Source organism: Homo sapiens, chromosome 2 (assembly GCF_000001405.40).
Source record: "Homo sapiens chromosome 2, GRCh38.p14 Primary Assembly".
Lineage (NCBI taxonomy): Eukaryota > Metazoa > Chordata > Mammalia > Primates > Hominidae > Homo > Homo sapiens.
The window spans coordinates 209,980,334-209,992,841 of NC_000002.12; the positions used below are offsets into that span (position 1 = coordinate 209,980,334).

The following is a 12,508-nucleotide window of genomic DNA, read 5'->3' on the forward strand; positions in this document are numbered from 1 at the left end:
AATAGATGACCTAACCTGTAGGAAGGAGCAAGGAAAGAAAAGTAAGTAAGACTTAAACAGGGATATCACTGGCCAAAAGCCAACACTAACATACTGATGAGGCAGCAGGGGGACTGGGGAGCCATGCAATTTTTTGCTTATATCTCTGATCACAGACATCGTAACCATCCCAATGAAAGCAAGATTGCTAACAAATGGTATTGTGTGTTTGTGATATGGGTGTGTAGTAATTTAAATAGGGAGGGGTATGAAAACCAGATTGTTGTTTTGAATTAAACTTTCTTACATTCAATAATCAGACTTGTATTAAGGCCTATCGGGTATAAGATAAGGAAGAAGGAAGTATGAGAAAGATACATTCTCTGCTTTCTAAGATCTTATAATAGATATAGTTATGTAGAGGAGATGAGAGACATTTACAATAAAGAACACCTAACAAAAGAGTTACTGGTAGACAGCACATGATTCATCACCAAACAAATACTGGGGACATAAGTGTTAAGTGATATGTGAATACAAATAAGGGGGAATAATCAATAGGATTTGGGAAAGGGCTCTGTAGAAATAGCTGAATCTATCCTACCACATTTTTTATATTTTTAAGACACATTTGTTTATTCTCTTTCCTGTGGACATATCTAAAAAGAAAATATCATTCTATAACAAGAATCAATTTTAAGTCAGTGATTATATAGCAAATTAAAATTGCTAGCACGTTTTATATTCACCTTTTGATTTGAAATAAGTTCAATTAGAAATATGATTACTTTGATATTTTAAATAAATAGTATCAGATGGTCTTACACAGTAGCACACATTCTCCAAAACTCAATATGTTTATCAAAGAATATTAGTGTTCATCAACAAACAACATTAGCTCATTTAGAATTAAGTCACTTTGTCATAGATACTGTGCTAAAGTTAATTTTCATATGAATTTGAATACATTAATTTCTGCTTCTCGCTGGGCACGGTGGCTCATGCCTGTAATCCCAGCACTTTGGGAGGCCGAGGCGGGTGGATCACCTGAGGTCAGGAGTTCAAGACCAGCCTGGCCAACATGATGAAATCCCATCTCTACTAAAAATACAAAAACTAGCTGAGTGTGTTGGTGTGCACCTCCAGTCCCAGCTACTCTGGAGGCTGAGGCATGGGAACCACTTGAACCTGGGAGGCGGAGGTTCAGTGAGCCAAGATCGCGCCAATGCACTCCAGCCTGGGCAACAGAGCGAGCCTCTGTCTCAAAAACAAAAAACAAACAAACCAAAACAAAACAAAAAAAACTCTGCTTCTATGGAGAAAACAAAATCACATACTTAAATTTTAAAATTTCGGTTAAAATCAGCATTTATTTCTTAACTTTATAGCTTTCAAATATTTTTCCTAAAAATATCTGAAATTGTCTTTCCCTCAGCAGTCTAGAAATTATTAACTGTACTGAATGTGGTTTTTGAATGTCAAGGAAATGTATTTGATTCATTCAATAACAAAGTCTCCTGAAGTATTTATGGAATGTTTTTAAAAAATTATGTGCTAGCTTTTCTCAAATCTTAAATTTGCTGATGCCTGTTCACTTTCACAAATAATCTACTTGTAAAAATTTACATTTATTTCATGAAGGATGTTCTAGTGTGGAAGGGTGGGAGATGTATAGACACGAAGAATTATCATTACCCCCAAAGGTCTAAGTTTTTTTATCTGTATGAAGGGACCAATGATAATTTAGATTTACACACAGCCCTAAGTTGTACACAAGCCAAGGACAGAACCCAAGTACAGCTTTGGTTGGGTTTTTCTGATCAGTGTCATAGTTTTTGTAACACTCTATTCCTTTGCCCCTTTTAGATGACTCTATAAGCATGCCCAGCGTGGTAAGTGAACAAGAAGCTTACCTCCTGAGTGCCATTGGAAGGAGGCGATTCTCCAGCCATGTCTCCAGCATGTCTGTACCTCAGGCTGAGGTGGGCATGCTACCCAGCCAGAGGTAAACAGCTATGGTTATACTGTACTCTGCATTTGGGGGCAAAGTTAGAAATTCTGAAAATACACTCCTGTTATTCTACAAAGACAGAAAGAGAAGCAAGCAATGGTAATGTTTTTAGATAGATCATTCCACAAAGGATTTGTCAACTAGGTTCCTGCAGGCAACACTTTGCAGTTTTCTAAGCCAAGCTAGTAGAAGGGATCCCAATTTCCAAGTATTGTCTCTCCTTAAAAATTTTCCATAGACACATGGTCTTCTTTCTGTTGTCAAATGGCATTCTTGTATTTCAGATTTATCATTAGCTAAGCTAATGATGGGTACTTGGCAAGAGTTTGGACCATCTTTATGTTTTTGGTAAAGTTTAGGCTTCTGATATATTATTAGTATTCAGTTGTAGGTAGTGACACTTAACCAAGCAGAAAAGGATCTATGCCACTGAGTGTGACCTTGGGCAGGTCATTTAACCGTAATCCACAGTTCTCCCTCTGTAAAATGAAGAGGTTTGCTAAAATGATCTTTAAGATAACTTCTCATCTATAGTTCTATGATTCCATGACAAAACCCCTTTAAATATTTTGTGTGTTCTCTGTCTCTTAAGAATATAAGTAAAAAAAAACTTCCCATGTATATATATATATACACACACACACACACAATGAAAGTATAATGAAAATGATCTCACATGAGTCAAAACATTTATCTTAAGTAGATAAATGTTTTGGAACCAATGATATTTTCACTTTAGGAATTGAGTTTTTCAAGGAATTGACCTTATGTGATTTTAGTGTGTTGCTTATTTTTAATACCTATAGATTCATTGTAGTACAATTCAGACATGGAAAATAATAAAATTCAGGGCATATTCTGATGTTCACATAAAACCAGTTTATATGTAGGAATAATTACCCTGTACCCAAATCCTTTCGCAAATGGTTCGTGAACTACACAGATGAAATAAAATTTGTGAAATAAAGCCCAAGTTTGGAGAATATCAAAGAATAGGGTAAAATGATAAATCATTAATAAACAAGTTGCATACTTTTTAAGAAGGCAATGTTTTATATAAGTACCATTTAATTATTACGAAGATTAATACTATATAAAGGTTTGTATCATTGTAAGAAATTGTTTTACCTACCATTTGGTAATTTTCCTTTGAAAAGAAAGTCTTATACACAAAAAGTGTGAACAAAATCAAAGCCAAACAATAACATGTCCTAAAAAAGATATAAAGCCACACAAGCAGCTAATATTGGTAGCTATCAGTTATTTTTAATTGCTAGCAATGTGCATGGTTCTATGAAGAATATTTTTAAAAATCAATTATTTGAAAGTTTTATTTAAATTATAGAATTGTAGAAATTTCATAAAGAGGTTTTTCATTGTTATTTACCTAAAATAACCAGGCCATCAATTTCCTTTTTACATATTCATTAAGGGGTCAAGTTGTTTGCAGGGAGAAAATTTGTCCTATTATACATATCTTGATTGTACATTTTCTTGATTTCTAGAAATCAAGAAAAAATAATATAGTTAAATAGTTTGGGCTTCATTCATATTTTGGAAGACTAGCGAAGGTAATAATACTGTCTCTGTACATAAGGGAAAGTGAGTCTCTTCCTAGGGACAGAGGCTGTTTTTATAGTGAACTTTTAGGTGAGCCTCAATTCTTTGGGGCCAGGCACTCCAGTTTTCTAAATGGTTTAGTTCTCTCCAATTTAACGAGTATTTATTGCCTCACAGATGCTTAGCTCAATGCTAGGCACTGAAGGAAGGACAGATAAAGCATGACAGTTTCTGTTCACAAATCTCAGTTCAGCTACATACATATCAATCAATCGATAAACAATTTAATTATTCTCTCACCAACCTGACAGGTTTCTTCTTTTGGCATTTACAATTCAGTCACTAGAGGATGGAGAGTAAGGAGGTAAATGCGAGTTCCATGTGAATTTTCTAAGATATCTTCCTTCCGTTTGTTTACTTGCATTTTCACTGCAAAATTAGCAGGGAAAGTTGTGTTCTTTCTTTACTTTTCTTAATGGCATCAGTTCCAAGAGCTTGGTTGTGGCAGTTCATGGTAAGTGGTTTCTGTGTGCTAATGTTAGAATGCACAAGAAAGAAGCAGGGTCCTGGTCAATGAAACACCATGTACATAAGACAGGTTAAAAATAATCACCACCTAGCCAAATGGTTACCAAAGGAAATGGTAGTTTCATCTTCTACAGATTCATTCTGCAATGTGTTTCAGAGCCTATGGGCCCATTCGGAGTTCATTTTAACTCTTGACCAATAAATAGGTTACTCCTCTGAGAGTTGTATCCATCCAAAGCCCTTCCTCCCCCATTGCCTTGAGTCCTATGTCTTGACAAACCCAGCACAAGGTGAAATGGTTGACTGTCTCCTTTTCCTTCCTTGTTCGGTTAAATCTATTTATTTTTGGTTCTTGGAAGCAGAAAATTGCATGCCTTTTTTCTTTTTTCTTTTTTTTTTTCATTTTCTTTCCCTAAATGCTTCATCTCCCTACCCCTCCTGCAGTGAACCTAATGTCCTCGATGACTCCCAGGGCCTGGCCGCCGAGGGCAGCCTCTCTAGGTACAGTGTCAATGCTACCTGTCTATTGGTGTCTGTGCTGGGAAACTAGCTGTTCCCTGTCTCCTCTGTCTCTCTGTCTTCTCTGTCTCTTCTCGCCCCGTCTTAATATCTATTTCCATTCCTTGCCCTTTGTTGTTCATGAACATATGAGCCTGGAAGTCAAAGGTGTAGCAAACCCTCCTTCATTTTCAGCTTCAGAGCTCAATGTCAATCAAGTAAGCCTGAAAAGCTTACTTTAAAAAAATTATAGAATTCTTTATGGGGCATTTCCCACGGATGTCTAAAAAGTCTGGTATGCCAAATGTTAAATTTATCCCATCTAATTATTCCCTCCCACACTGATATTTATTAAGAATTGTTTTTCAGAGGCCCTTTAATACATCATCAAGAAGCCCCTTATTAAATCAAGACAGGTCTTTTAGCTAATACCATTGATTGTAAGAAAATAGACAATGATGTTATAAAAAGAATAGTAATGTGGATACAATTTATATACTATAATTCCTTCTCTTTGATGCATGCTATTGGGCAGACTTCTATAGTAGCTTGTTCCAGCAACACTTATACAAAGAATGTCTGTTCTAGCACAAAGGTGACTCCAAAACTTGCATGAAATATCAGACACAAACAGTTCTTGGTAAGTAAGAGAAGTCTTATGATGCAAATAATGTAATGTCTTGGCTATTGGTTTAAAGCTTCAGAAAAGGGGACTGCACCTTTAACACTCAGATAAACCACGTCAAACATTCCTAATCTTGTGCTGTTGATTCACACCTCTCAACTAATCCTCATTAGGGGTAAGGCTTCTTGTTCATCCTTAGAGTATCTTTGTGCCATCTCAAGAGATAACATTCCCTTTCAGGTTTGCACTATCTAGTGAGTACAATACACCCGTGTTTATTGCTTTATCACAAAGATGAGGAAATGTTGAGAGGCTGTTCCTGTGAAAGGTTGTCTTTTGTTTTCTTTGCATCTTGTTCAGATTTCACATTTTCTTTTGCAATTGAAAATGGGAAATTTAGTCCATCATCGGGTGTATTTTTTTTTTAACCAGACCCATAATTCATGACATTCGTGTTTGCCAGCCCTTGCCTTGACAGATCAGTCTCTTATTGGTGGTAAATGTGGAAGTGCTGCAGAATGCAGACTTAATTCCATTAGCAGGAGCTTTGGGGGCAAGGAGGAAGTTGAGAAACAAAACAGTCCTCAAGAGGGCTTCCCTTTATTCACGGTGTTGGAAGAGATCTGAACCAAGTCTAGCAGAGTGTTCATTCTTTCAAAGAAAGCAGGTATTTAATGTTTAAAATTACATGTGTGATGGGAACCTTGATTAGAAGACAATTTCAGTGGCCTACTGAGAGTAGAGAGTATTGAATCAGACTTCCACTTAGCTAGCTTTGTGCTGGGGCTTTTCTAATTAGGCCAAATTCTACTCTTGATGAGTAAGGATTGGTGAGAGAAGGCAGGAGTTTGAGATTGTTTTTATGAACTCTCCCAAGTATTTGGCCCTCTCTGGTAGGCTCAGGGTTCAGAGGACCTATTTGTAGTTTTCTAAACCAATTCAGTGTGTCCTGGTTCCAGTGTCAATGGAAATATACACAAAGTTTTTGGTAGGTGAGACTGGTTCAGAGCCAAAGCTATTGATTTGTCTACAGCTGAATTAGTCAGTCATGGTAGTACTTTGATGACTGTCTTAGATCAACTGCCGTTGATCCGTTGTTTCTGTGACCATTGTGTTTTAGTTCTGGGTGTGAGTCACCCAGACCCAGTTGTGGTCATTAAGAAATGGGAAGATGAGGCATTCACTTTGGCTTCTGAAATAATTCTAATAGCACAGAGGCTTTCTACCAACCAGTAGCACATCCACCTTTGCCATACCCTGCAAATTGTATCTCTTGAACTACATCACGTCACCAAGTTCTCTTTGGAGGAGAGGAACTTTTGGCATTTACTAGGAGGTTGGTTTACAAAATAGGATATATACTTTTTATATTTAGTTTCCAGACTTTCTTATTTTTGGCATGAACTTCCTTTAAGCTGCAGACTCTTAAAATCCTGAAGTAGTAAGGCATTAACCAGGTAATGACGCTTAACATACACTCCAACACTGAGGACCTAAAATACACCCAAAGTAGTCCTGATGAAAATCTGGCCTTAAAGCTTAGAGAATATCAGGAAGCATATCTAAGGGAAAATAATAAACTCTGCTGCTCCCATGCTCTTACAACATTTTACCAAACTTGCATGAGAATTTCCTTTTGAAAGGACATTTGTTTTAGACAAAAGGGGTAAGTTGGATGGAGTGGGCTAAATAAGGAAGAGACCAAGATAACCTGATGAATAGGTGGAAATCAATAAAAATTTGCCATACCTATAGAAAATTACTTCTAGGATTTTTTTTTAAATGTGCTAACTGGTTTCTTTTAGATTCATCCCCAGAAATAGCCTATTAGAAACACTATGCTTTGCAGAAAAGATTCTTTGTATTGGAAATTAATAAGATGAAATCATATTCCATGGGAGAATTCTCTTCTCTAGAGACTGTTGCTCTTAGAGATATAGAAATTCATTGTAGATGTTCCTTCTCTGTCTCTGCCGTGAAACACGCACACATATCCATGGACATGTTTTCTCTCCAGAAGAATAGAGACATACAGAGGCTATTCAAGAACTTATGGCCAGATGTTTACACCAAAGAATTAGATTTTGGTTGGACATGTTAGAACATTTTGAAAGGCAGAAATTGACAGTCAACTCTAATTTTTTTTTAAAAAAAGATTATAATGCTACTTGAATTTGCAAGGATACTTTTAATCACAGTGAAAAATAAAAATGTTTGAACAAGACTATATAGTCTAGGTGAAAAGAAAGAAAAATAACCTATATAGTGGAACCCATCTCATGATTATACACACTTTCAAAGCATAAAAACTTGGCAAGTACTCTCAAAATACCAAAAAATAAAAAAAAATAAAAAAACCTTTTTAAGTAGCTGAGAATTAATGACTAAGAAAATATGTTGTGATACACAGATATCTACTTTGCCATTGCTAAATCAATTCTCACAGGATATCTAAGATCCAGATTATTCCCCCTTTCAATGTGATTTTTAGCCTGTAATCTCTAAATTATGTGGCACTTAAGATATAGTTTCTCAGATGTTGTTGAGGTTAAGTAAATTTTAAACAATAATCTTTTATTGAGAAAAGGGGAAGTAGGATTTAGTCTACTGCGTATTTCCCTGCTCTCTACAGATACCTTATCGCTCCCGTGAAGTGCTGGCTTCATGCATTCCTATCACAAGGCAATCACTCAGGGTAAACGATGATGCTGCATGTCTTTTGTGCCACCTCTACATTTCTCTAAACCATATTAAAATTGAAACCAAAAGCACAGATAAAAGCAATGAAAATATGAATTCACTTTTCCATGTGCTGGTCTCACCTAGTGCTTCTACTTAAATTTTTAATTTATGGGAAATATACTTCAATCTATAATTTTTTTGTAATTTTGAAATGAGCGATATGAATTTTTATTGCATTATTGAATGGCCCTTGTTTACCTATCCTTTATACCTTATTTATAAAGTGCATCCTTTATAAAGGATGAAGTGTATATAGTGCATAAAAGATATACTTTATAAAATATATCCTTTATGCACTATATGCCTCCATAGTATCAGGTATATATTTCATTAGGAGATGCATACATATTTATATACTGCAATCCAGGCCATTATACTGATATAGGAGAGAAGAGGTCATCTATGTCAGAATTGTTTTCCTAACATTCTCTAAATTTCCCTAGCTTATAAATTACTTCCTTGCATTTCAAAAAAGATGCTTTTGGTTTTTGTAGATAATATGGGTCACACCAGTTCTGCTGAGCCCCAGTTGCATTTACTTCTCTAAGACCTAGATTATATGGTTTACCATAGTGATATTTTTCATTGACTCAAAAATATAAGAGATTATTTACTCCTAAATATATCGTAAGATGTTAGCTTCAATTTAGAAAACTTTATTTGCTTATATCCTTATTGTTCCACCTTATTACTTGGCCAAAACTATGGAAATCAGTCATATCTCATTCCCAAGATTAAAAATTTTAGGAAACCTGACTGGGCACCGTGGCTCATGCCTGTAATTCCACCACTTTGGGAGGCCGAGGCAGGCAGATTGCTTGAGGCCAGGAGTTTGAGACCAGCCTGGACAACATGGTGAAACCCTGTGTCTACAAAAAATACCAAAAAAAAAAAAAAAAGTATTCAGGTGTGGTGGCACATATCTGTAATCTCAGCTTCTTAGGAGGCTGAGGCATGAGAATTGCTTGAACGCAGGAGGTGGAGGATTCAGTGAGCCAAGATAGTGCCACTTCACTCCAGCCTGGGCAACAGAGCAAGACTCTGTCTCAAAAAAAAAAAAAAATTAGAAAACCAGTTTTCTCTATTGGACAATTATAAGAAGTTGTCCCACTACTCTGACATATCTCGACATATAGTCTCAACTTTTCAGAGCATGAAATACACATTTCACTTATCTGAAAGGATTCAGTTGTCTATTGGAGTATGATATTTTGTGACCATAAAATACAATATAATATTTTAAAATTTGACTATCAAATATAACATAGTATTTCCCTAAAGGGAAAAATAATTTTGATTACTGCAGTTGTAGTACGTAGGGACTATGGTGGGACTGTTTCAAAAAATTTAAATAAAAACTGGACATAACATAGAGAGGTGCTTAGTGAAAACCCCTTAGTCTTCTCCTGGTTCATTCTAGTATTGCACATCTTATAGTCATACATCACAAATCCTGCAGATGACTGAAATATTACATGATGTGGAGAGAAGCTAAACTGAAACTTTTTATATGCAACTTCAATTTGATATAGACCCCAGAAAAAGAAACATGTTCTGTATAAATTATCATTGTGAATTTTTTGGCTGCTTATTCCTAACTGTACAGAGTTAAGCCAGCCTTCGATATTCCAAATATAAACATGTTAGCAATCACATTTTTAGAGCGAGTATAATTTATAAGCTGGGATATTTCCAAGGATATATTTTGTAATTTCATCTTTGATGGGTGCATTCCATGATGAAATGCTGTATCATTTACAGAACAGCTAAATACTAAAGCTATAAACTTGATACGTCTCTTAGATATAAGCCTCTCTATCCATAGAGAAAATTTCGATGCTTATGATCCTCTCCTGGAATAATCATCATGAAATTACCATTATGTTTTGACATTTAACACTCCCTGAGTAACATGCATTTCTTTTCTTTTCTTACACCATTTTTCTCACAATCACAGATTCCTGAATAAAAATGAGACAAGTGGACTGCCTCAATTTCATTTTCTCTGCCCTATTATTTTCAAAACATTTTATTACCTGCTTCCTTTTAGTATTCTAGAAGCAATAAACTCATTACAACATCAAATGTAAAACAAGAAAGCATGCTATGTACCTCACTTTTCATGTTCAAACCATTGTACATCAACTAACTTCTTTTCTCTACCTTAATGGGAGGTAGTTGGTAAGTATTAACCTCCTCTTAATGGCCAAGGGAACTGAGGTAACATTTAGATGTCAATGAAAAATCCATTCCAATGAAAGCTTTGCTTAGTATTAGGAGAAGCTTGTTTCTACTTTTGTGCATATGGTTATTGAATACTCTTTCCAATTTAACAGACATGTTAACATGTATAATTAATAAGGAGATGTCATTTCAAACATGCCAGCAACATTGTCTGGATTGCTTATCAGAATTTATTGCATTGTTCCTTTGGGGTAATTTTCTGTCTTCATGGAAAGGTCGCATCTGTTTCAAGGTTATATATGTATAAGGATAATGCACATGGATATTTTTGAAGTTGACATTCAGGAGAACAAGAAAGTTTAAAAAGCACCTGTTTTGGTACTCTTTATGAATTTCGTTATTGTGAACCCCAAATGGTGTAATTACATCCTTATTTCATAAAAACCGTGATAAACCCTATTTGGGAATCACATTGATTTTTTAGTGGAAGTGTAAGACTTTTAAAAAATGACAAATGTGACTGTGTCAACTTTGTGATGATTAACCAATTATTAACACAAAAGGGGAAACATCTGATTGCCTGTCTCACCACCAGTTTCTCTCCTTACTACTGCAGCTGGGTATTTAAGTAGCTCTTTATTTAAAAAATGGAAATGAACAGATATAGTCTTTCTTTTCCCTGGGCAGTTGCTGACTCTGGATTCCTCTGTGGAATATTATACTCTTAAGAACTATCTGTAGATGACTCTCCTTTTGCAAAGGCAAAGCAGAAATTAATTAACCATTAACCAAATAATCACATTGGCATCATCCACAGAATTGTAATATTCTCTGGGGCACAGGATACTTCTTTTTTCATCCCCACGCCCATTATAAATACCTTTTATACATGCATGCAGAATGAAAAAGGACCATGGGCCCATGTCAGTATTTTCAGCTTCACCCAACACTAAAATAGCAACTATTTCCAGTCATTTTTTGCATACAAAAGACACACATACACAGTAAATTTGGGGGGAGCAGGTTGTTGCTTTTATAAACTGCATGGTATGTTTGAGTGCAGTTACTCGATTTTAAAGCTCCTGAGTTGTAATGATAGCTTAACTATAGCTATACTTTGCCAGCCTTTTAAATCTAAAACCATTTTTAAAAAAACATTTGTTTACCCATGTGACTATTCATTTACTCAGTAGTCACAGAGACTTCAGGCTGCAAACATGTGTTGAATGTGCCCCTTCACCCAAATAAATTCTGTGTCTGATGTGTTCGATATTTGTCCATCTTATTTTCATTTAAATTGAAATTTTAAAAAGATGTTCCCATCCATGTGATAGAGTTGTTTGTGTTTGTTTGTCACCACCGTTTCCCTTCCCCTTGGAAAAAAAATTGAGATTAGAATATGACATCTTATACCTTTTGGTGGCTTCCAAACCAGGGGTGTGATCAAACCAATGTTTTCTGAATGATAGATACGGCATCAGTGATTGAAAACAGAATCTCAATTTTGGCAGCTTGGGGCTACAAGGCCTTGTCCTCCCTCCCAAACATTTGAAAACACCCATCCCAGGGACTCTCCCAACCATCCTTCAAAGATAATGGTATCTTTGAAGTGACTGTATCATACAAGTGATTTTGGCTAACACCCACCAGAGGACAGTCTCCTGTACTCTCTCCGGGGTACACTAACACTGTTGATGCTTGGCAGGGTGGCAAGTATACAGAGTGAACCTGGTCAACAGAACCTCCTTGTTCAGCAGCCGCTGGGGAGGAAGAGGGGCCTGAGGCAGGTAAGTAGACCCTTAAAGCGCAAGAGAACCATCCTACGAATTGGAAGCTCTGTGTGATTTTTAATGCCCATGTATATTAAGATATTTTGCTGCTGGACGTGCCCGGAATCCCAGCTACTGGGGAGGCTGATGTGGGAGGATTGCTTGAGCCCAGGAGTTAGAGTCCAGCCTGGGCAACATAGTAAGACTCTGTCTCTAAAAAACTAACTAAATAAATAAAACAATGTTTTTTTTTTAAAGTTTATATTTTGCATTCACCCTACCTAAAATAAGCAGCACAGAGCAACTTTAAAACGTGGTAAGTACTTAGGCAAGCCAAATGTTTCGATCTTCTATTTTAGCTCTGAATTTTCTTATTAGCAAAGCTGATTATGTGGTAAAGTAAGTGGGGCTATAATTCTATTTGTTCCTTACCCAGAAACTTTCTTTACCAGCCAAACTTATTGATAGAGGAAGATTTGTTATACAGTTGATTTAAGGCCTGTTTCTGCATAAAGGCAAAGAAAAAGAAGTCCTTTCTTTCTCATTTCAAGATTATTTAATTTAAAGCAAACTGAAGTAAAGATCATCTTTAGAGATTTCCTTAGGTGGAGT

The 12,508-nt window shown here is 35.9% G+C and overlaps 1 protein-coding gene across 3 annotated transcripts in view; it reads left to right on the top strand.

Moving 5' to 3' along the window:
* The window catches only part of UNC80 (unc-80 subunit of NALCN channel complex), a 227,465-nt gene that overhangs the window by 208,502 nt on the left and 6,455 nt on the right, over positions 1-12,508 (top strand). For 2 of the 3 annotated variants that reach the window (NM_032504.2, NM_001371986.1), the window contains 3 exons: positions 1,846-1,984; positions 4,523-4,579; positions 11,833-11,914. In NM_032504.2, coding sequence (NP_115893.1) covers positions 1,846-1,984; positions 4,523-4,579; positions 11,833-11,914 — 278 coding nt within the window. The remainder of the gene's footprint in view (positions 1-1,845; positions 1,985-4,522; positions 4,580-11,832; positions 11,915-12,508) is intronic. The other variant, NM_182587.4, reaches the window with a different exon arrangement.